We start from the raw sequence: 24,636 nt of genomic DNA, 5'->3' as shown, positions 1-24,636 counted from the left end.
AGCTGCTAAGTTGTTGCTTGTGCTGGGACAGCTCCCACCCCAGGCCCAGGTTAGTAAGTAGCTGGTGTTTGGTTTGGCTTTGCTGCCAAGATAGCCAGAGGAAGGAGGTGACAACAGCCCAGCTCTCCTGCAGGATTCAGGACCTACCCTCCTGAGTAGGTTTAAAGGAAAGAAGTCCATAGGTTTGGCCTGTAGCTCAGTGTTCAGAAACAGAGGTGAGGGCTGGTGCCCGCTTCAAGGCAGCTAGGAGCCAGAAGAATTAAACCAAGGATGGTCCCAGCCTTGGGTTTGTTGGTTTATGATTGGGTGGTGTCCTGACCCCCTGGAATATTCTTTTTTGATCTTTCCATGTCATAGATGCTACTGACCTGAGCCCATAATGTGCCTCAGAAAGGGTCCCTGGGATTTTGCCACAGTCTGTAAAGCATGAGCAAGAGGAGCTTTGACCTCTAGGTAGTGCCAGGAACCCTCCATCATTAAGGAACTAATTCGCTGCATGTAGATGATTCTAATCCTTACATCACCATTATCCCTGGTATTGATTTCCTTCATTAGCAGACAGTCCACAGTCAACTGCACATTAAGTACGTACCAAAGACACAAGAAGACCTAACTAGTCTCTGAACCCTGTATGTGTGGCTTTGATGATTACTATCACTTGTGATCCTTGCAATTAACTCTCCACCCTGCATCCATAGCCATGGGAAATCTCCTTTTCACACTCTGTGGAAAACATTACCTACCATATATGTGTATATAAAAATTATGTCTGACATTACTAAACTCTAGCTTTTGTCACCATCAGTGAAAGTATTGGGAATTCATGAATTATGTAAATATTTGAAATTATATTTTCATTCCCAATTGTGCCCCAGTTGTAAGGGTTAGCACATGTATGTGTGTTATTTTCTTTAACAGACAGTGAAACAGCAGTTTTCATGTGCCAGGCATTGTGTTAGGGACTTTATAAATATTGACTCATTTAATCCAATGTAATTCATTTAATACCAATTCTATGCAGTAGGAAACTGAAGCACAGAGCTTAAGCAAATTGGCCATAGTCACACAGCTGCTGAGCGTGTTGTTAAGCCTGATTCCCTTGTGTAGTTAAGAGCAGTCAGATGCAAATTTTCTTTTGTTTGTTTGAGACAGGGTCTCACTTTGTCGCTCAGGCTAGAATGCAGCGGCATGATCATAGCTCACTACAGCCTCAACTTCTTGGGCTCAAGCAATCCTCCCACCTCAGCCACCTGAGTAGCTGGGACTACAGGCACACACCACAACGCCCCACTCATATTTTAATTTTTTGTAGAGACAACGTCTCACTTTGTTGCCCAGGCTGTTCTCAGACTCCTGAGCTTAAGCAGTCCTCCTGCCTTGGCTTCCCAAAGTGCTGGGATTACAGGCTCACCCCTGTAATCTCAGGCCACTGCACCTGGCCACACATTTTCTTAAAGAAGTATAAAAAATTTGGACTTGGCCAGGCACGGTGGCTCAAACCTGTAATCCCAGCAGTTTGGGAGGCCAAGGTGGGCAGATCATCTAAGGTCAGGAGTTCGAGACCAGCCTGGCTAACATGGTGAAACCCATTTCTAATAAAAATACAAAAAATTAGCCAGGCGTGGTAGCACACACCTGTAATCCCAGCTACTCGGGAGGCTGAGGCAGGAGGATCGCTTGAACCCAGGAGGCAGAAGTTGCGGTGAGCCGAGATTGCACCATTGCACTCCAGCTTGGGCAACGAGAGCAAAACTCCATCTGAAAAAAAAAAATTGGACTCATTAATGCTTCAAAGCCTATGCTTCTAACTAATAATTGATCCTAGCTATGAAATATACATACATAAATACATTTATATTTGAGCCCAAATAACAGAGAAAGTAGAAATCTGTAGAATAGAATGGTATTGCTATTTTTTTCAATCAGAGATGGCAGTATTCTACATTCAGGATTTCTTGTGACCAGGGCTTTTGTTTGACTCATTTAAGTAGTGATGTATGATATCAGAATAGTCTTTTGCTCGTTTGTGGCCTAATGTTTTAAAAAACATGTGATCACCCAGGCACTGTGGCTCACACCTGTAATCCCAGCACTTTGGGAGGCCAAGGTAGGTGGATCACGAGGTCAGGAGATCGAGACCACCCTGGCCAACATGGTGAAACCCCATCTCTACTAAAAAATTAACTGGACGTGGTAGTGCACGCCTGTAGTCCCCACTATTCAGGAGGCTGAGGCAGGAGAATTGCCTGAACCCGGGAGGTGGAGGTTGCAGTGAGCAGAGATTGCGCCACCGTACTCCAGCCTGGGCAACAGAGTGAGACTACATCTCAGAAAAAAAAACAAAAAACAAAAAACAGTATGCTCTCCTCCAGTTCAGTCAACTAAAAGCAGTTGAACTCCCACAATGTAAACAGCAATGTGTATGTAGTGCTGTGGGTAACCCGGGATGTTAAATGGCCCTTCCCTCCTCTCCCCCGACCACACAGAACATATGTCCTTGTTGGGAAGATATAACACATGTAAGTGGAAATACACCATGAACCCCAAGAGTGTTTAAAAGCAGTATGCAATGAGATCCAGAAAGTCTTAGATGCAGCGTTAAGGACTCTTTCACCCAATTTCACCATTTTACAGGAAGAAAGTTGAGACCCAGAGAGAGGAAGGGGCTTGCCCCAGGTCACACAGAGCATTGCTTTCCAAATGAGTAGAAGAGACAGTAAACAAGGAAGCACAAAGATTCCTAGCCTTGAAGACCTAGGCTTTGCTCCTAGGCTTGCTGGTCTGTAAAATGGCCAGATGATTTAAATGATTTAGAAAGTCCCTTCCAATTCTGGAATGTTCTGGGCTCTGTCAGTGCCGTGTTTTGGAAGAGGGGCAAAATCAGAGAATATGGTCTTCTAAGGTAAATTGGTGTATCTTAGGCTTGGGTGTTATCAAGTGCCTAGGACAGTGCACAGTGCCTGGCATAATACAGTCACTCAATAAATGTTTGTTAAATGAATGAGTGAATATTTTTCGAAGATAGGAGTTGCTCTGATTCATAAACATTCCTTCTGTGAATTCACTGGAGGGAGATGGAATGAACAAGGGGATGCTGAGCAGAGGAGTGACACTAACAAAGATGTTTCCACACAAGGCAGAGGCACCGTCTCGGACTGCCTGGGCTTCGAAGATGGGTAGGGAGACCCAGGCCGGCGTGAAGCTTCAGATTAAGGAGGAGAGGGTAAGAGGGTGCCCAAGGGGCCACACCCTCTTGGGTTTATTCACCAGGAGCCAGTGTTAGGCTGGGCCAGGAGTGTCCACACCCTCATTACTTGTGAGCTTAGGGAGAGCAAAAGGCTTATGTGCAGAGATGACTCAGGCCCACAAAAAAAAAACAAGAAAATCTTGATTAAAGGCCAATATGGCAGCTCACAGCTCCTTTGTGGGCACTGTGTGCACAGTCAGCCTTCTAAGCATAGTTTGCCGAGTGGAGATGAAAAATTGGGATCATGGGGATCCTGGGGAGGGTGCGCCTGGGGAGGGTGTGCAAGGCACAGTCCTAAGATGTGGTCCTACTCTTTGTCCTCGGGGCCTGCCTGGGACACCTGGGATAGCTCTCCTGATCATGTATCTTCAATGTTTTACGTAAGGGCGGGTGACCATTTCCCTCCAGATGGAACATGAAGGAACATGCTCAGGTGGTTCAGGGATTATTGAGGACTTGAGAGGGGAAAAGAAGGAGGTTTGAAAGGAATGATTGCCCTTTAGCTAAGTAGCCGGGAGGTCAACAGAGCACAGCTGCTCACTCAGCAGGGGCAGTGTGACTGGAAGCAGAGGCAGGGAGCCAAGATGGGTTCTGTTAATGAGGTGAGAGGAGAAGGTGCTGGCCACACCTTCCTGTCCCCTGCCTGTGCTCATGCTCCCCGACTCAGGACAAATATATGGGGCTGGCTGTGATCAAAATTTAGCACAATTCAAGAAACCAACTGAGGCAGTTAACTGACTGTGGAAAACAGCAATCAGGGCTCCAAGGGCAAAGGTAGAACTCACCATGATGTCAGCACAGTTACCTACAGCACAGTCCATTGATGGGGGCCTTGGGAAACATCCTCCTTCCCTTTGGCATTTCAAAGCAGCTGGTTCCAGTAATATTGAGAGATTTAGGATCTCTAAGCCATTTACAGATGGATAAACATGCACCTGTGGACATGTGCAGCCAGACCAAAGAGTGAAGAAGGTTGAGGTTTTGGAATAAGATAGGCCAGGTTTTGAATCTCAGTTCAACTTTTTTACCAGCTGTGTGACCTTGAGAAACTTATTTATTGGGTCAATTTCCTCATTTGTTTAAAAATGAAAAAATTTTACAGTGTTATGAGAACTAGAAATTGTGTGTGTGTGTGTGTGTGTGTGTGTGTGTGTGTGAAATGCATGATTCTCAGCAGGCATTCAATGTTGTCATCGTCATCATTATTATTAGTGACTAACACACAAATTTGTGTCTTTGAGCAGATTTGGGTTGTTGAGCATTTGTATTCTGACTTACCAATTTCTCATAATATGAATTCCATTTGCATGCTTGGGAAATAAAAATATCCTCCTCAAGAAACTCTTATTGTGGACACTCGAGGGTCTGAGCACCATGTTAAATGTATGGCCTCCTCCCCACCCCCATATTTGCCCACCTTCTAATTTTGGAATATAGTAAGTGTTTTGTTTCACAATATATCATAAAATGACCAACTTGTTGTTACGAAGTTCTACATGTTAAGATTTTTGTTCTTGTATTTTTGTATCTCTTAGTCACTTTGGTGAGCCATGTGGTTTGATGGTAAATCATTTTGTGATTTATAGATTGCCAGTTGAAATAACACCTATCTAAATTCCTGAGACATACATAATCATGGTACAGTGTGACTTATAATTTTGTGGCTATATGGAACATTTCTTCTAAGAATGTTTAAGCCAAACAATGGCATTGTGAGAAAATTGTCATTATAACAAATACCATGAAACAAATGGCATTGTCATCTGTTGTGTGTAATTATTTTTAAATGCCAAACTGTAGGCCATGGGCTACTTAATGTTTGAGACCACAAAGTCCCAGTTTGACATAACATGGTTTTACCTGAAACTCTTTGGGGTGGAAAGATGGTGGAGTCTTACAGAAATAAGACCACCTAAGTGAAATCAACCTGTATGTTCTATACTAGTAAGAGGCTGGCTGCTTAGATCATAAACCACTTTGTCAAATGTACTAGGCCTACATCAGTGTTCACTGAGGTCTTCTAACAAATGTGATCATTACTAATTAATCCTGTTTACCAATGGAAACTGAAGCCATTTCTTAAATACACCCTGTTCATACTGCATCGCAAGTATACATGTATGTGATATTAAATAAGGACAATACTGAAACAGTGAGGGGCTACTAAATGCCACATACATACTGGCATTGTCTCCCTCTCTCACACACACACCCCAAATCCAAACTGTAGAGAGGAAGCTTATGTTTTCTGGGTCCTAGGGTATCACTACTTTCAGAAATCTTTATCCTTCTTGGAAAGTCTTGCTTCTGGGCTTTAAGAATCATAGGCTCCCCAGACTTATATCACTGTCAGGGGTAGAGTAGACTGGAACCCACGTGCATTAAGTGATGAGTTATGCAGAGAGCCTAGCAGAGACAAATGACCTGCCAGGTCAGGGGCAGCTGGACATGCCTTTTCCTTCCTCGTTTATAAAACGACAGGTCTGTTTACAGCCTATTCGGTGGCATAGTAAATGTGAAAGCACTTTGTAAACTGTAAAATAAAAGCTGAAATGAGGCTGATTGGTCCTCAGCCCTTTTGGGGCCTGCAGGAGCCAGCAGCCCTCACCCCTACCCTGGGAAGGTTGGAGAGAGCAGAATAAAGTAGTTAAGCAAGGGGAGAATGAGAGCCTCCTGGATCGTTGCCCTTCCATCCCAGCACACCCAGGGCACCCACTCCAAGCTATTCCAGTAACTTACTATTCTGTTAACCTTGAGGAGGGCAGGGACCTTCTGCTTAATTCTCCACATGGCTGCTGTTCTGAAGTGGGGAGAGTGGCCATAGAAGCAGAGGAGATCATTATTCATAGGAAAAGTTTTTCTTGTTCTTTTTCATTAAATGCCTCTGGTAGGAGAAAATGAATAAATAGAAACATTGAATACACTGCTTTTTCTAAGCCCATGGTCAGAGACAAAAGGAAAAGCACATGACAAATAAAAGGGAATCTCCCCTTCCATTTTCTCTCCTTTCACTCTATTTTCTGACAAGACCAGAGTGGAGCTCCCCTTGAGTCACGTGCTTTCTGCACACCGCAGGTCAAATCCAGTATCTTGCATGGTGTGTTATAAAGCCTCTAAAACAAATCAGCACAGGTCCTTCTTTAGTCTCTCTCCAAGGGGGATTCCATGGTATTGTTATTGCTGGAAACCCCTCTTCACCTCTGTGAGGAGACAGAGCTACTTACAGGCAGGACGCAGCCTGAGTTTTAGTCATTTTAAGATCTGATAGTCTCGAACAAGGTGGGGAATCCTTGCATGTAGAAATTGCTCCTCTCTGCCTCACCATATCTTTATATAAGTGATGAGGGGTCCCGAAGTGGGGCAGGGGACTTACTTCCTTGACCTCGAAGTCCTAAGCATCCGGAGACCAACCTTTTGAGGATCACGCCTAACAGGCTCTGTCCACCATTCCTTATGCAGAAAGAAAGGAACACAGCGCCAGCATCCTGCCCCTCTCTCCTCTGTTGATCTGTGAGTTCTGTTCATCACTAAGAATGCCATTTGGGGATTTTCCCCTCTTGCTTTTATTACCTTAACACTAGACAAGTGAAGAAGAAGAAGAGTTAGAGGAGGAGGAGGAGGAGGACCCGGAAGAAGATAGGAAATCCACAAAAGAAGAAGAGAGTGAGGTGCCGAAGTCCCCGGAGCCACCACCCGTCCCCGTCCTGGCTCCCACGGAGGGGCCGCCCCTGCAGGCCCTGGGCCAGCCCTCAGGCTCCTTCATCTGTGAAATGCCCAACTGTGGGGCTGTAAGTGTGTCTGTGTCGTCTGGGGATCTGGGACAAGTGAGAGCCATATAGCTGTGCCTGGCTTTAAGAGATGATGTATTTTCGAGAGTGCTCTTCCAACAGTCACAGTTTGGCAGAGGGTGCTCCATGTTGCCATTGTTTTCTGCTTCATTTGGCCAACAGGTATTTACAGAGTGTGTGTTCTGTGTCAAGCATGATGCTGCGTGTTGGAGAACACAGAGAAGGCCCCCATGCCCAGGAGTGTGTGATTCCAAGCTCTGCAGTGAGCGTGGCCTCCAAAACATACATTCCACATTTCCTGGAGCCTCTGCATTCCCCTGGGCTGTGTGTCACACAAGCTTGTGCCCTGTCAACATGCATTTAAATGTACTAGGAGAGCCTGCTGACAAAGATCATCCTTTTATGACATAATTACTTGCCCTACCTCCTGCAATTTTACCTATTTAGAAGGTTTTGCATTTCACATTTCATAAAGTGTTACTAATCGAAATGTCACTAATTTAAAATTGAGAACACTGTTACAAAGATTTAACTAAAGTTTATCTTTGTACTCTATGGTGGAGAAAAAAAAGATTTACTAAAAGTAAATTAATCATATAAACAGGCTGAAAGGGAGTGTGTGTAAATACAGAGGCTACTACTTTTCAAGAATATTAGAAGCATAATTTAGCTAAAATAAAACAAGTTCACCATGTGGTCATTCTTAGCACTAAAGAAAGACCTTACGGTATCTGTGCTGGCCTTGTCTAAGGCTCCATATGTATTTTAAAGGATATTTTTAAAGGTTATTTCTCAATCTCCCGCTGGTCTGCCACTAGTCTGAATTGGTGAGCTTTTCCCAAATCAGGTTTCTTAAGGCCAGGCACACCTGTATAGGCAAGTTCTAGAGGGATTACCCCTCAAAATAATGTTGCCCCTTGCAGAGGAAGCCCATTTTCCTTAAGTCAGTGTGCTTGTCTTTGCTCATACATGATATAGGACAGTGCTGTTCTCCAGAGTGTACTGAATGCTGCTTACCTGTCACTTAGATGGAGAAAGCAACAGTCTTTAAAATATTTAGATCCTAAAGCAGAAATTCATTTGATTTGCATTTAAGAAAAAATGAAAATTAAAAAAAAAACAAAAAAGATACATACATTTTGCATTCACTTTGAAGAGAACAGAAGAGATTGCTGGCTTGTTTTCCATCTTTGATGTTTAATGACCTGGCCATTTTGTATAGAGTGTTCACTGCAGCATGATTGCGATAATGACTTTAAGTGATGGTATTTCTTGGTGAATTTGTTCAGAAATTAGATGCCTCCTCAAATCATAGCTCTATGTACAATAAGTTGTGTACCAAATGGAAGTTATCTTTTACTTTTTCCCATCAAATGCTCAGCAAGTTAGATATTTTTCTGTTCCAATTTTTCTGTACATAAGGGAAAAGATATTTTTTAATGACTTTTAAAAATCACAGTGGAAAAAGCGTGCTGGTTTTATTTTATTCCTTGCCTAACGATGGAGGCTTTGGTTGCTAAGTCAGCGATAGGTTTTTTCCTATGTAAGAAAATAACCAGAGCTTGGCCAGGCGCGGTGGCTCACGCCTGTAATCCCAGCACTTTGGGAGGCTGAGGCAGGTGGATCACAAGGTCAAGAGATCAAGACCATCCTGGCCAACATGGTGAAACCCCGTCTCTACTATACTAAAAATACAAAACTTACCTGGGCGTGGTGGTGCGCGCCTGTAGTCCCAGCTACTTGGGAGGCTAAGGCAGGAGAATCGCTTAAACCCAGGAGGCAGAGGTTGCGGTAAACTGAGATCATGCCACTGCACTCCAGCCTGGTGACAGAGTGAGACTCCATCTGAAAAAAAAAAAACAAGCAAACAAACAAACAAAAAAAACAGAGATCATAAACTTAATACAGCAACTACTACAGCTAGACAGCCCAGTAGGTACTCCCCTTAGCTGATGAGTTTAACAAGCTGGAAGCCAGGACTCATTGGATTCAGGGATATGGATTTACACCCCTTTATAGCGGTGGTTCTGAACTGGGGATGATTTATTCCCCAAGAACATTTGGCAGTGTCTGGAATTTATCATAACTTTTATCATAAATGCGGAGGTGCTGCTAGCATCTGGTAGGGCCAGAGATGCTGCTAAACATCCTATACAACAGAGCCCCCCACCCATCACAACAAAGAATTATCCAGCCCAAAATGATAGTAGTGCTGATGTTAAGAAAACCCAGCTTTATGGCAGGATTTTAAAATTCTGCCAAGATCCTTCTTCTTTTTATCATCTGTATTAAAATTTGGGGGTCTTAAACATTGCTTCAACAATGGGCTACTGATTAAGGCTATCTACAACGTAGAATACGTCAGAAAACCTAATCACTGTCTTTCAAACTGGATTCCTTAGGGTGCTAGGGCTTCCTCGGGGTAGATAGAGCTGAGCAAACAGGCGCAATTCTGGGGCACTGTCTCCATTCTAGCCAGAGCACCTCTGCTTTTAACTTGAGCCTGAGTTTTTTTAGTAAGACCTGATTTCCTAAAAAGGAAGGAGGGAGGGAAAGAGGAAGGAAGGAAGAAAAATGGGAGGAAAAGAAGGAGGTAGTTATCATCTTTAAAAAAGTTTGAGGCCAGGCGTGGTGGCTCACGCCTGTAATCCCAGCACTTTGGGAGGCCAAGGCGGGCAGATCACAAGGTCAGGAGATCGAGACCATCCTGGCTAACACGGTGAAACCCTGTCTCTACTAAAACTACAAAAAATTAGCCAGGCGTGGTGGCGGGCGCCTGTAGTCCCAGCTACTCGGGAGGCTGAGGCAGGAGAATGGTGTGAACCTGGGAGGCGGAGCTTGCAGTGAGCTGAGACCGCACCACCACACTCCAGCCTGGGTGACAGAGCGAGACTCTGTCTCAAAAAAAAAAAAAAAAAAAAAAGTTTGAAAGCTGGTCCAGCCCTCTCATTCCTCAGATGGAAAAAAATAAAGTATACAGAAGGGAAATGGCCCAACAGCTTTAGTTATAGTAGAGCTGGGTCCAAACCCCTGACGTCTTGACTTCTAGACAGTAGCTTTATTCTTTATCCTGTGCCACGTCGCTTCTTCTCTTCTGATTGTAGCAGTGATGAGGTTTTGATTGGCACAGGATCTGTGGTTGTGGTATTTGATCTTTACCTTTTGTAGCATATGCCCAAAGTTTGCTTATATAAAACCCTTGTGCCCTGTCATTAGACAGTTTCAAGTATTCCATGTTTACCACTGAGTAACTAATAACCCTAATTTCCTTTTCAGGACTGTAGATGTCATGTCACTCCCTTTCTTCCCCAGGTGTTCAGCTCCCGACAGGCACTGAATGGCCATGCCCGCATCCACGGGGGCACCAACCAGGTGACCAAGGCCCGAGGTGCCATCCCCTCTGGGAAGCAGAAGCCTGGTGGCACCCAGAGTGGGTACTGTTCGGTAAAGAGCTCACCCTCTCACAGCACCACCAGCGGCGAGACAGACCCCACCACCATCTTCCCCTGCAAGGAGTGTGGCAAGTAGGTGCAGGGGACCGGGGACTGAATCTGAGTTCATGATGGGTAGTCGCTCTATGGGAGCTGGGCCAGGATGGCCTGAGGTTTCTTCAATCAGAAAAAAGAACTTAGACCTCAAAACTCTTCTTCGTGTCATCTTTGGGATGGGTATGTAGTCCTGTTGCAGACTCAGAATATGGCCATTCTGTTATCTTAGAGCCTTGTAAGGATGGATATCTTCAGAGAGTGAACCTGTAAGTTACAAAACTTCACTCTTTCCCAGGAATGGCAGGTGGGACTCTGGTTCCCACTCCTTCCCTTCACACCCAAGCTATGTTCACTAGCATTACTCTGTTTGGATCCCCGCTGAATGATTTGAGAATGGCTCTACAACATCTAATCAGGAACTCTCTGTAACACAGATGGCTCATACAGGGTAATCCTACCACCTTCGCTTACTTCTGTGACTAAGGCAGACATCACTAATCAATCACCACACTTTGCTATCACTTTAAGACAAAGCCTCAATTACTTTTTGTTGTCATGCTTCAAGCTGCACAACCAATTAATCAGAGTTGACACATGAAATAAAACCTATTTGTTATCCTCCCCTTTTAGGTATAATTTAAAAAACAACAACAGCTAAAGAAAAAAAGTAACGAGATAGTAATTATAATAGCTAACATTTACTGAGCATTTACTTTGTTACATGCTTTATGTGTGTGAGCTCACTTAATCCTTACATAGAAACTCCATGTGATACAGATACTGTTTTTTTATCTTTGTTTTACAAATAAGGGTTTAAAAATTAGGTAAAATGACTTGACCTAAATCACAGTGCCAGTAAAGAGCAGAACTGAGATTTGAACCCAGTTTTGTCCGAATGCAGACCTGGGCTTCTGACCACTGCTCTTTCCTTTTGGTTTACTTTGTTTTTTGCTTTAGGTAGAAAATGCCATTGATGGTAAGATGGGTGATTCCCTCCCACAGCCTCCAGTAGAGAATTCCAGTGTACTTCTCAATGAGTCCACCTGACTGGAAGGGTACTACATTGTTATGAATTACATCCTTTAGGAGCCTTGCTGAGTTCCTCTTCCCATAATTCCTAGTGCCTCGAGCATGAAAAGGAGTATTACCTGGGAGAGATGCTGCCCAAGTGGTTTCTGAAACTCTACCACGAAAACATCCCTAGTTACATCAGCAAGGCTAGGTGGGACCTCTACTTATACATCCTCATAGAGTAGAGCAGGCAACTTAATAGTAACTGCTGTTTATCAGGTACTAACTATGTGCCTGGCACTGTTTTAAAGGATTCTTTACATGTTTTAGTCTGTTTTGTGTTGCTACAACAGAATATCACTGACTGGATAATTTATAAAGAAAATAAATTTATTTCTTATAGTTCTGGAGGCTGGGAAGTTCAAGGTCAAGGGGCCTGCATCTGGCAAGGGCCTTCTTGCTAAGTCATCCCATTGTGGAAGGGCAAAGAGAGGGGAGAGAGAGCAAGAGGTTGAACTTGCAGCCTCATACCCTATTATAATCGGCATGAATCCATTCATGAGGGTGAGGCCCTCGTCACTGAAACACCTCCCATTAGGCCACACCTTCCAACATAGCTGCATTAGGGATTCAGTTTTCAACATGTGCTGTTTGGGGGACACATTCAACCCATAGCACATGTACTGATTAATCTTTAAAATAGCCCTATGAGGCAGGTACTTTTAGGAGCTTCTTTTTTACAGGCAGAAACTGAGGCACAGAAAAGTGAAGCCCCTGTTGCAGTTCACAGCGAGCAGCCTAGTGGGGATTCACACCATGCAGGCTGGCCTGGCCTTGTGCTCCTGGCTCTATGCCATGCTGCGTCTGATTAAGCCCAGCTTGATGGCACCCACCAAAGTGAACTGGAACTAGCAGATCACTTCCCCCCATGAAGCACAGGGATGGGAGAGATGGGATTCGGTGTGGGTCTCCTCCACACCCTGCTGTCCTTCCAAGCTGGCCATGATGTCATTTTAACATCACCACCCACCACACACTGGTGCACCATGGAAGAAATGGGCCCCTGGATTGATCTTAAGGCTTTTTTAATTGAAATAATGATGGAACCACCCTCAGCTGACTCTCAGTGATCTCCCGCTTATTTGTCCTGGAGTGGCAGCATCAGGGTATCAGGGTCTTGCCAGTTTTCCCCCAGAGGAGCTAGCACCACCCACTCATTAGGCTCAAACAGGCTACAACGCTACATTCCACCAGGTGGAGACAGAGGATGATTTAACTTAAAAAAAATCAGTATTTCATGTTTCCCAGCCATGTCTCAGTAGCATCTATTAAATGTTTTTTTTTTTGGAGTCTTACGTTGCTTGGAAACTTTTTCTACCAGAAATCCAGTTATGATTTCATGGAAAATACAAATGGTTTCTGTGGCTTTTCCTAACTCAAAATAACATTAGGCAAATGTTCACAAAATACCTCTTAGAGGTGCTGAAATTATGTTTGTTACATTTAACCATTTTCAGTGTGTCCAAGCAGAATTGTGATTTATCAGCCCCGTTGGACTCAGGCCTTAGAAACCAGGTGTTTTGTGTGTGTGTTTTTGTTTTGTTTTGTTTTTTCCTTCATGAGCTCAGAAGTGACTAAAGAGTATTATGCCACCCCCTCTCCATAAACAGTCTCACACCTGGGCACGCTTCTTCTGAAAAAGGTCCAGATAGTTAATATTTGAGGTTTTGTGGGCCGTTTACTGTCTTTATCATAACTGCTCAGCTGTGCCATTGCAGCACAGAAACGGCCATCAACATTGCATAAACAGACATGGCTATGTGCCAATAAAACTTTATTCCCAAAAACAGTCAGGATTTGGCCCACTGACCATAGTTTGCAGACCTCTCATCTAAAGAATTAACCCCAGCAATATATCATTTTATCCCCGGGTTTCTCAACCTCAGCACTGTTGGCATTTCAAGTCTGCCAATTCCTTGCTTGGCGAAGAGGGAGTGTCCTCTGTGTTGGAGGATGTGTAGCCATTATGATAATATCATGGCCACAAAGCAGGGGCCTTAAGTGAAAGGGAGTAGTAGATGTAGCTCAGAAGTCAAGTACAATAAAGACAGGGGCCACTGAATTTGGCCACACAGAGTTACCAGTGACCTCGAGAAGAGCAATTGGGTTGACAGGGAGAGGACAACAGTCCACTTGGAGAGGAAGAAGCAGAGAAAAAAGAGATCCACCAAGTGCGTGTGGGCAGATCCTTCAAGAATTTTGACCGTGGGTTGGGCGCAGTGGTTCACACGTGTAATCACAACACTTTGGGAGGCCAAGGTGGGAGGATCACTTGAGGCCAGGAGTTCGAGGCCAGCATGGGCAACATAGCAAGACTCCATCTCTACAAAATATTTAAAAATTAGCCAGGCATGGTGGTATGTACCTGTAGTCCTAGCTAATCGAGAGGCTCAGGTGGGAGGATCACTTGAGCCCAGGAGTTCAAGGTTATGGTGAGCTGTGATCACACCAGTGCACTCCAGCCTGGGCAATAGAGAGACACCCTGTCTCTATTTAAAACAACAACAACAACAACAACAAAACCAACAACTTTCAACTGTGGAGGAACAGGGACAGAGGCCAGAGGCAGATGGTGGGTTGTTTCATGATGGGGACCATCAGGGCTTGTTAGCATGATTTAGAAGATTCTCCAGTGGAGAGGGCATGGTCAGTGATGAGGAGAAGGGGGAGGCTGAAAGAGGAGAAAGAGCCTGTGCTCCAGACTCCAGGTGGACAGGAGGCCTTTGAGAATTCCTCCTCCATTGTCACAGGAAGGAAGCCTGAGGCACAGTAGGTGTGTTCTGTCCCCATCCCTTTCCTTGTAATGCTTGGAGAGGAAGGAAGAGAGGTGACAGGTCACAGGGGAAGGAGGTCCTAGAAGCCGAGCAGCCAGGGACTTTGTCAGACCACACACCCCCATTCCCCGTAGGACACCTGGATTTCCAAGAACTCAGATCTCCTTCTAAATTCTACACACCTCTCTTTCTTTATTTTTAGAGTCTTCTTCAAGATCAAAAGCCGAAATGCACACATGAAAACTCACAGGCAGCAGGAGGAACAACAGAGGCAAAAGGCTCAGAAGGCGGCTTTTGCAGCTGAGATGGCAGCCACGATTGAGAGGACTACGGGGCCCGTGGGGGCGCCGGGGCTGCTGCCCCTGGACCAGCTGAGTCTGATCAAACCCATCAAGGATGTGGACATCCTCGACGACGACGTCGTCCAGCAGTTGGGAGGTGTCATGGAAGAGGCTGAAGTTGTGGACACCGATCTTCTCTTGGATGATCAAGATTCAGTCTTGCTTCAGGGTGACGCAGAACTATAAAGCCCTGTGTGTCACTTAGAGACAGTGAAAACCCACGGCCTCCATCTTCATTAATCAGGAAACCTGGACTGCCTGCTTGTTTTGTAACCCTTTTAAACTACCTGTTTTAAAAGTGGTCATTTTATTCAGGTTTAGAAAAAAAAATCCTATTTCTTTTCCTTTTATTTAAAAAAATTTGTTTTTGTGGGGGGTTGGGGGAATAAATAATTGGCACAACTATCTTTAAGAGGTGTTTCATCTGGGCTACCTTCTCATGAAATCATTCCCAGTAGGGACTGAAGCTGACCTTCATGTTCCATTGCATTCAGATGTCAACCATCCCGGTTGCCTTTTATCCCAAAGCTTGCTGTGAGTGTGTGTGTGTGAGACGCAGGCGACCCTCTTAGTACTGGGGTCTTGGGGCCAACTTTTCCCATCAAGCGTTACTTTGATTCTGTTCTGACCTCATTCCATAGTTTGCAGTGAGCATGGCATCTTTGCCTGGAGATACTATGCTAGGGGCAGCTTTCCAGGGGCAAAGCAAGCCCTCGTGTTACACGGCTCTCCTCCAGCTCACACGACATGTGAGGAGATGACCAAATGTGAAAACAGGTTTCCCCTGTGTTGCCCGTCATCCTTTGGCCCGTTCACAGGAATGGAGTACTGTATAATTTTAGGCTTTCATTCCCAGCAGTGTTTACTGAGGACCTGGTTTTCTAGAACAGGTGTGTCCTGTCCTCTTCCATGTTCCCTGGGGGCTGGTCAGCTCCAAGTTGTGGGTGGCAGAGCTGTGTTTCAGCATGAACTGACTAGAGACCCATCTGGAGGCAAATATTAAGTTGCCAGGACTGCTTTCACTTCAGGGTGATTGAAGGACACATATTGAAGTACCTAGAATGCCAGAAAGTGTTCTATTGCCCAAAAAACAAATCAGAAAAGCCTATTCTTTTTTGCAACGCTGTTAATGATTAGTGGAGTTCTGAAATTACTTTGTGCCACTTGGAAGTACTGTGAAACCGCATTCACTGGGATTTTGCTGTAATTCACATCCGCTGGACTGAAGTTTACCTTGATGTTAGCTATAAGAAATAGTTTTCTAACACATACGATAGCAAATACAAGACAAATAGCATTGAAGGCCAACAAAAATGGCTTCAGATACACCTTAGCTATAATGTTTGCATTCAAACAATGAATGTATTCATCACAAGTCACTTACCAAAGCACTTCTAGACTTCTCCAACCTCCATGACTTTGCTCTGCTTCCTCCTGTCCCTGTCAGCAGGGTTGCTGTTTGTACTTGAAGGTAATAAACCTGTAATCCTTCAAAAATGCCATTTAGCCCCAGGCTTCTGAGCTGAGTCAGACTGACCCATCCCACCGTTAGGGCAAAAGTCAGGCTGGGACACAGCGCCAGTACAGAGAGGATCCTGCTTCATGCAACTCCCCTTTTGGAGTTAATGCAGCGTGATTTCCTGGGCCGGTGTTTTCAGGCATCGCCCACCCCAGGTATGCTGGTTCCCAGCTCCACGTAGGTGTGCCTATCACGCTGGGCCACTTTGCTGACAACATTCATAGCTTGACATGAGAGAGAATATCAGCAGAAGCATGAGAGTAGGACCTGACGTCTTTGACTCTGCAAAAGCATTTAGCACACACTCATGGGGGGGAACTGGCTGTGAGCCACAGCAGCCCCACACAGACAGTGGTCTCTGAACTTCAGGAAAGCCATGGACAGAAAAAAAAATAAAATTCTTTTCCATCATTCTATTTTCAAAGAGGTCTTGGCGTTTTCCTACATCTTTTGTTTAGAGGGGGAAAAAAGTTTCATTTGCTGCCATTTCAGAAAGGTTATGCTATCCTGTTTTATCCAAGCAGTTGTGAGTCAGGAACTGCCTGGGCAGTGTGCATCAACTTTGTGGCCGAACCATTACAGCTGTCATATCCTTGGCTGATCGTCTCTCCCAGGGACTACTGCCCTCCACTTAGTGTCTGAGGGTAAGCCTAGAAGGGTGCTGCTATTGGGTCTATGGAAGCTTATCTATCAAAGGAGCAAACATCCAGAAAAGTGTTTATAAAGCAAATGTATTGCCTCTGTTTAGAGATTTGCCCAGCTGTTCCAGTTTTAAACATTAAAAAATAAACTCAGTTGCCATGGCAAAAATAGAATGCACAGCTTACTTATAATTTTCCATGCAGTATAGCATAAGGATTTTTGACTTGAAACAACCAAAGAACTCCTCCTTAACGAGACAGTTCAAATTCCTGAATTAGTATTTCTTGACTATCAACTTAAAGAATGGACTTCCTAGTACAATGTTGCACTTATTTTTTTTTCTGAAATAATTCTGCCTGCATGTATGTGTTGTGTTTTAGCTTCTCCCCTTACCCCACCCCAAAGATCTTTTCTTCCTAATGGTTAATGTCTCAACTCGGTTACTGTTTACTATCAGATGGTTTTTCATTAGTGAATTTAGACCTCTTTGAGAAAGCTTGTATATAAAAAGTTAACAGATATATTTTATGGAAAAACCCATCTTATTTTCAAATATATTTAACTGCTGTTATATTTTATTAGAGGAAGGTTGTAAATATTTTCTAGGAGTTCTATTGTAAAGAAAAGTATTTTTGAAAAAAATTAATGTAATAAAAAGGAAAACATTTTTAAATAGTGGTTGTGATTGCTTCCTGTTCTGGCTTCGTTATGTTCTATTCTCAGCAGATGAATTGCATGCCTTCCATATCAGGATGTAATTTATTCAGGTTTGCACTATTATAAGTTGACATCATAATATCTAGTGTGCTTAACTGTATTTTCCCGGAATGCAAGTCCCTTGGTCCATATTAAAGCACTATGTATAGCATATTCATAATTTTTCTTTTGTAACGTGTGTATTTTTAATAAGGATTTTATGTAACATTTTGGCAACAAGAGGACCGTATTTTCTAGTGAATTTTATAATAACATTTTGCTAAAAATGTTTCTTCCTAGGTCAGTTTTTGTTAAGGTGAACCAAAAGTCTTATTTTACCAGGGGTTTAAAAAAAGTTTGAAGCTTGAAAGCAAAGTTATATTTAAACATCATATGTAACAAATAAATAAAGATGTTTTATAGACTTGTCCTAAAAAGGTGCATTCCTTAAAAAAAAAAAAAAGAAAAAAAAAGGAAACTGGGGCATTCTAGGTTGTTTCCCCTCCAAGTGATAAGCTTTTTTTTTTTCTTAATTATCACAATGCTTCTTCAAAAAGGGAACCAGGGAAATTTTATTTAACACATTCTAATCATTAGCCTCTCAGAAAGTTATTACAGTTCCTATAGATGGGCATTCATCAAATGGAGATGTAACCAAACAGACACTGTCATATTTATTTGTGAAAACCTGATTCAATATTGCATCAGCTGCTCTGAAAATAAAATATTAATCTTTTGCGTTTCGTTTGGCTTAAATATTTCTTCTTTCTAGCCATTGCTATGACTTCTCAATGCTGGATAAATGCTAGTTTACCTGTTAATTGGTTTCCGTAGACAACAAGTTTAAGTCGGCTGATCAAATTTAATGATCATTATTAAAGTGTCCCCCGACTCCGAAGACCAGGACATACATTTCTGCTATTCAAGCAGTGGATGAACCACTTGGGTTCGTAAACCTTATGACTCAAACTGTGTCATAAACTCAAACTGAGTCATAAACCTTATGACTCAAACTGTGATTCAAGGGAGCACACTGTGACATACAGGTGTCTTACACTAAATCCTCCACAAAGTCTTAAGTCCACCCCGATTTATTTGCATTTTAAATCTGAATTTCCAAATTTGAGTAAGTAAGTTTACTTTTTTTTTTTTGACAGTCTTGCTTTGTTCCCCAGCCTGGAGTGCAGTGGCACGATCTTGGCTCACTGAAGCCTCCACTCCTGGGTTCAAGCAATTCTCACGGGTCAGCTCCTCTAAGTCCACCCCGATTTATTTGCATTTTAAACCTGCATTTTCAAATTTGAGTAAGTATGTTTACTTTTTTTTTTTTGAGACAGAGCCTTGCTTTGTTCCCCAGCCTGGAGTGCAGTGGCATGATCTCAGCTCACTGAAGCCTCCACTCCTGGGTTCAAGCAATTCTCACGGGTCAGCCTCCCAAGTAGCTGGGACTATACAGGTCATGCACCACCACACCTGGCTAATTTTTGTATTTTATTAGAGGCGAGGTTTCGCCATGTTAGCCAGGCTGGTCTCGAACCCCTGGCCTCAAGAGATCCGTCTGAGGCCCGCCTCGGCCTTCCAAAGTGCTGGGATTACAGGTGTGAGCCACTGCACCTGGCTGTATGTTTACTTTTTTTTTTTTTTTTTTTTGAGACAGAGTCTCCCTCTGTCACCCAGGCTGGAGTGCAGTGGTGTGATCTCAGCTCACTGCAAGCTCTGCCTCCCGGGTTGATGCCATTCTCCTGCCTCAGCCTCCCGAGTAGCTGGGACTACAGGCGCCCGCCACCACACCCTGGCTAATTTTTTGTATTTTTAGTAGGGACGGGATTTCACCTTGTTAGCCAGGATGGTCTCGATCTCCTGACCTCATGATCCACCCGCCTCGGCCTCCCAAAGTGCTGGGATTACAGGCGTGATGTATGTTTACTTTTCATGGTCAACAGAAAACTATAGAAGAACTTTCAAATTCTGGATTTCATACAGAAGTTTACAGAATTTTACAAAAATAAATTTGCTTTAAGTGGGGAATGCCTATTCAAGACCTTGATCTAGATTCTTTTGGAGGGTGGGGGGGGTGGGGAAGGGGGGTTGTTGTTGTTTTTAAACTAATAGAGACAGGGTCTCACTATGTTGGCCAGGCTGATGTTGATCTCCTGGCCTCAAGCAATCCTTCTGCCTTGGCCTCCTGAAGTGCTAGGATTATAGACATGAGCCACTGCACCTGGCCTCTTTTGGATTTTTTTTGTTTTTGAGACGGAGTCTCACTGTCGCTCAGGCTGGAGTGCAGTGGCGCGATTTGGGCTCACTGCAACCTCCACCTCCCGAGTTCAAGGGATTCTCCTGCCTCAGCCTCCCGAGTAGCTGGGACTACAGACCACCACGCCTGGTTAATTTTTTTTTTTTTTTTTTTTTTTTTTTAGTAGAGATGGGTTTCACCGTGTTAGCCAGGATGGCCTGGATCTCCTGACCTCATGATCCACCCACCTTGGCCTCCCAAAGTGCTGAGATTACAGGTGTGAGCCACTGCGCCTGGCCTTTTTTGGTTTTTGACTTTAATTTTAGCTGTTTACTTTAGACAACCTATACCAAATAAAATAGCTATTCCTCTAGAAACTGTGTGCCTTAGCCAGTGCTGTAAATTTAAAGTCTACTTCTGGAGGCCTAATTGGAAGATTTTTTTCTACTTTTATTCAGTCAGTCGATCCTCATGAGCCACCATTATTCCATACTGTATTATACAGGGGGAGGAGAGTGTATAAAGATGGCTGTACATGATTCCTTCCTGCCAAGGAATTTAATACCTAGAAAGACATATGGGGGCCTTGGAACAGATTCAATTCCAGGATTGAGAAGAGACCTATCAATATTCGGAATCCTCTCACCATCACCCACATGTACACAGCAATTTATAGCGGGTGCTCAGCAACTATTTGTTCAATGAGTTAACTCGCCAGTCCTCCAGGTACGCTCATCCATGTGTGCATTTGGCAGAGAGAGAATGTGTGTGTAAATCCTGAATTCCATTTACTCCCTATCTACCATCCTCAGCCACCGCCAGCGAGCTGAGATGTGCTCTAGGAATGTGGATGAGAGTTCATGTTGACACAGCAAAGCATAATTAGGAAGACATTTTAAGAAATTGAATAATATATTCCTAAGAGAACCATAAGTGATCTTTGAATTGTAGATATCCCTGTGTAAAGGAGCCAAAGGGCCAGTCGTGATGGCTCACTCCTGTAATCCCAGCACTTCGGGAGGCCGCGGCGGGTAGATCACCTGAGGTCAGGAGTTTGAGACCAGCCTGACCAACATGGAGAAACCCTGTCTCTACTAAAAATACAAAAATTAGCCAGGCATAATGGCGCATGCCTGTAATCCCAGCTACTCGGGAGGCTGAGGCAGGAGAATCCCTTGGACCCAAGAGGCAGAGGTTGCAGTGAACCGAGATCAAGCCATTGCACTCCAGCCTGGGCAACAGGAGTGAAACTGTGTCTCAAAAAAACAATAATAATAAAAATAAATATAAAAAAAGGAGCCAAAGAGCTGATTACTTCCTTTATGTACGAGAGGATCTTTTGGAAAGGACTGTCTTTAAAAACAGAACAACTGGCACAATCAAAATATGATTAACTGTAAAATATTTGATGTATCTATGTTTATTTTTTCTGGACATAAAGCAAGGTTTACTTGCATCAACTATCTAGAATCATTGGACTCCTGCTCCTCTACATGAGGTTGGGTGTCTGGAAGTTTAGGCTGTAGGAAAGAGACCCTTAACGGATAGGCCAAGCTTCAGAACGCTGTCCCTGCCCACACCTCATGCCAAAGAGCACTGTTCACAGCCCTACTCTGGGCAAAACCTGATGTTGCCCCTTACAATGAGTTCTACCTAGGCCCTAGCAAGTCGGCACTTGATCCCAAACCATTAGGCCCCTAGGCCGTGTGGTGACACATTTGGCTCAGCCCAGGAAGATGAGAGAACCAAATCAAATTTCCACATTTGAGAGTATGAATGGAGAAACTTGATGAGCCAAAAGCAGAGAGCAGTGGCCATGCAGAGTCCTGAGGGAGCAGAAACTATTGGTAAGCAGTGAAAGCCCATCATTAAAAAGAACACATTTGGCCTCAGGAGTGAAGAGGGTATCCAGTCCCTAAGACTGTTTAAAGCATACCTTTCCAGTTCCAGGAGCTGTCCAGACCACACAGGTCTTTAAAAATAAGCCCCTATTTCTTTTGGAGTGGTGCTAGGGTGGTGGGTATTTCTAGTCCTATTATCCAAGAGATTTAAATAGAACCGAACCTCATCATAGAATCAGCACCAGCCCACTGCAGAGGTAGAAAAGGCACTGCTTTTAAGATGGTTATTGGTTTAGCTGTAACTAACTTACCATATGACCCTGAGTGAGTCATTTCACCTTGGGTTCCTCATCTATAAAATGAGGATAAAATCCATGTCTTCTGGTGTGGATCAGAGTAGGTAACTTAGGTGAAAGTCGTTTGCAAGCACTATAGTTGCAGAACACTCACCCAGCTGAGGCTACTCAAAGGGGACAGAGGCAGGGTGAAGGGCCTCACGGAAGTGCCATTTGGACAAACCGATGCAAACTTTGGAAGCAGGAACAGAGTTGGGAGTGGGGAGGCTGTTGGAAAACCCCATTGGCTGAGAGAAATCCCCTTAAGTGTCACAATTCAGAGAGAGAGACTGATTCTGAGAAGGGCACTGGGCAACCTGCCAACATGGGGCATCACCGAGTCCAGCAGAAGGGCACACAGGTGAGGCCGGGTGTGGTGGCTCAAGCCTGTAATCCCAGCACTTTGGGAGGCCAAGGTGGGCGGATCAGGAGGTCAAGAGATTGAGACCAGCCTGGTCAACATGGAGAAACTCCGTCTCTACTAAAAATACAAAAATTAGCTGGGCGTGGTGGCGCATGCCTGTAATCCCAGCTACTCAGGAGGCTGAGGTAGGAGAATCACTTGAACCCAGGAGGTGGAGGTTGCAGTGAGCCAGGGTCATGCCATTGCACTCCAGGCTGGGCAACAAGAGTGAAACTCCGTCTCAAAAATAAATAAATAAGAAGTGCACACAGGTGAAGTGTGCTGTTTCCATACCCTGTTGCAAGGCCACACTGGAATCTCTGCCACACCTCAACACGGACTGAATTCTAGTAAACAGAGGCCAGCCTGAGGGGCAGGAAAACTGGTTTCTGCTCCTAGACCTTTTCTATCTCCTAGATAGGTGTGATGTTGGGCAAATCATTCTGCCTCTTCTTTGGTTCTCTTGCCTGCAAAATAGGGTAGTAATAACTATTTGTGGGGAGAAAAAAAAAACAACTTTATATTTGTACAGTTCTTTATTTGGATGCTATAAAATATTCTCATAAACTTGATCTTTTTATTTTTAATCTTCTCAACAACCTTGTGAGGCAGGTGAGGTAGAAACTTAATGGCACAAATAGTGGATGACATCTATAGTGTATCATTACATGGCAGTATTGTACTAAACACCATATATTGGTATTGCATTGAATTCCCAAGCAACTATTGGAAGCAGGAACTACTGTTATCTTTTTTTTTTTTTTTTTTTTGACATATGAGCAAACTGAGGCTGAGGGTAAGGAAGTAACTTGCTCAAAGTCACTCAACTAACTGGTAAGCCTGGGATTAGAAACCAGATCTGATTATAAGGCTAGAGTTTTCCATTAGGCTAAAATGCATATGTGAAAGCACTTTGGGGAAATAAAGCTTAGAAATGTGAACAAATGGGCCAAGTGCAGTGGCTCATACCTGTAAAACCAGCACTTTGGGAGGCCAAGGTGAGAGGATTGCTGGAAGCCAGGAGTTTGAGACCAGCCTGGGCAACATAGCAAGTCTCTGTCTCTACAAAACAATAAAAATAAAATAAAAAATGGTCGCAAACACCTGTAGTTTTAGATACTCCAGAGGCTGTGGTGTGAGGATCACTTAACCCCAGGAGTTTGAGGCTGCAGTGGGCTATGATCAAGCCAGTGCTCTCCAGCCTGGGCAACAGAGCGAGACACTGTCTCACACACACACACAAAAAAGACAATATAGTATTATAGAAGCAGACTTTAAGATGAGGAGAAAGTAAAAGGAAAAATAAAAATAAATTTTTAAAGATTTGCACAAATGGAATAAGTTTTTTTTTTGGAGACGGAGTCTCGCTCTGTTCCCTAGACTGGAGTGCAGTGGTACAATCTCAATCTCGGCTCACTGCACTCTCTGCCTCCCGGGTTCAAGAGATTCTCCTGCCTCAGCCTCCCAAATAGCTGGGATTACAGGTGCACACCACCATGCCTGACTTTGTATTTTTAGTAGAGACAGGGTTTTGCCATGTTGGCCAGGCTGATCTTGAACTTCTGACGTCAGGTGATCCACCCGCCTTGGCCTCCCAAAGTGCTGAGTGCTGGAATTACAGGTGTGAGCCGAGCCACTGCACCTGGCCTTTTCTTTTCTTTTCTTTTTTTTTTTTTTTTTTTAGACAGAGTCTCATTGTGTCTCCCAGGCTGGAGTGCAGTGGCACGATCTTGCCTCACTGCAACCTCCACTTCCCGGGTTCAAGCAATTCTCGTGCCTCAGCCTCCTGAGTAGCTGGGACTACAGGCACACAACGATGACACCCCACTAATTTTTTGTATTTTTAGTAGAGATGGGGTTTCACCATGTTGGCCAGGCTGGTCTCGAACTCCTGACCTCAGGTGATCCGCCCACCTCAGCCTCCCAAAGTGCTGGGATTACAGGCGTGAGCCACCGCACCCAGCCTGAAGAAGTTTTTATTATAGCAAATCCCAGTTATACATCTTTTTACTTGGAAAAAATTATGGTGGACATTAATAATTAGACAAAACACTTTGGCTTGTTGTAAGTGAAGCTAGCCATTGTAAATTCCTAAATACTAGAGTAACATAAGGAAATGAATAATTTAGAAAGATCAGTAGGACAGCGGTATACAAAATGGTTGGAGCACAGGAATTCCAATTGGTGTGGGGAAGGAAGAAAGGATTAAGAACCATAATTAGAAAGCCGCTGCAATAAGGTAACTGAGTGGCAAC

General features: G+C 44.0%; 1 protein-coding gene and 1 long non-coding RNA gene across 53 annotated transcripts in view, besides 3 other annotated features; one reads left to right on the top strand and one right to left on the bottom strand.

Moving 5' to 3' along the window:
- The window catches only part of TRERF1 (transcriptional regulating factor 1), a 227,294-nt gene extending 208,985 nt beyond the window's left edge, over positions 1 to 18,309 (top strand). For 28 of the 52 annotated variants that reach the window (XM_047419067.1, XM_047419048.1, XM_047419033.1 and 25 more), the window contains 3 exons: positions 6,829 to 7,035; positions 10,348 to 10,559; positions 14,571 to 18,309. In XM_047419067.1, coding sequence (XP_047275023.1) covers positions 6,829 to 7,035; positions 10,348 to 10,559; positions 14,571 to 14,895 — 744 coding nt within the window. In that variant the 3' untranslated portion in view covers positions 14,896 to 18,309. Of the gene's footprint in view, positions 1 to 6,828; positions 7,036 to 10,311; positions 10,560 to 14,570 lie in introns of all 52 variants that reach the window. The other 24 variants (XM_047419061.1, XM_047419044.1, XM_047419028.1 and 21 more) reach the window with 1 other exon arrangement.
- Positions 788 to 1,370: an enhancer, noted in NCBI's record as "OCT4-NANOG-H3K27ac hESC enhancer chr6:42209608-42210190 (GRCh37/hg19 assembly coordinates)". NCBI's record gives its function as "activates a minimal SCP1, AML or CMV promoter by ChIP-STARR-seq in naive H9 embryonic stem cells {active_cell/tissue: H9 hESC(naive)}" and the evidence as "EXISTENCE:reporter gene assay evidence [ECO:0000049][PMID:30033119]".
- Positions 6,583 to 6,742: an enhancer, noted in NCBI's record as "active region_24545". NCBI's record gives its function as "activates an Ori minimal core promoter by ATAC-STARR-seq in GM12878 lymphoblastoid cells {active_cell/tissue: GM12878}" and the evidence as "EXISTENCE:reporter gene assay evidence [ECO:0000049][PMID:35858748]".
- On the bottom strand, positions 6,736 to 18,501 carry LOC105375061 (uncharacterized). Its single transcript, XR_001744122.2, has 4 exons — positions 18,381 to 18,501; positions 8,740 to 8,880; positions 8,172 to 8,446; positions 6,736 to 6,824 (listed from the first exon to the last, which is right to left on the bottom strand). It is a non-coding gene; the product is annotated as an uncharacterized LOC105375061 (long non-coding RNA).
- Positions 18,654 to 18,733: an enhancer, noted in NCBI's record as "active region_24544". NCBI's record gives its function as "activates an Ori minimal core promoter by ATAC-STARR-seq in GM12878 lymphoblastoid cells {active_cell/tissue: GM12878}" and the evidence as "EXISTENCE:reporter gene assay evidence [ECO:0000049][PMID:35858748]".

The sequence above is a fragment of the Homo sapiens genome, chromosome 6, assembly GCF_000001405.40.
Source record: "Homo sapiens chromosome 6, GRCh38.p14 Primary Assembly".
Classification (NCBI taxonomy): Eukaryota; Metazoa; Chordata; class Mammalia; order Primates; family Hominidae; genus Homo; species Homo sapiens.
Note: the sequence above shows the minus strand (reverse complement) of the source record. Positions and strands in the feature narration are given on the sequence as shown.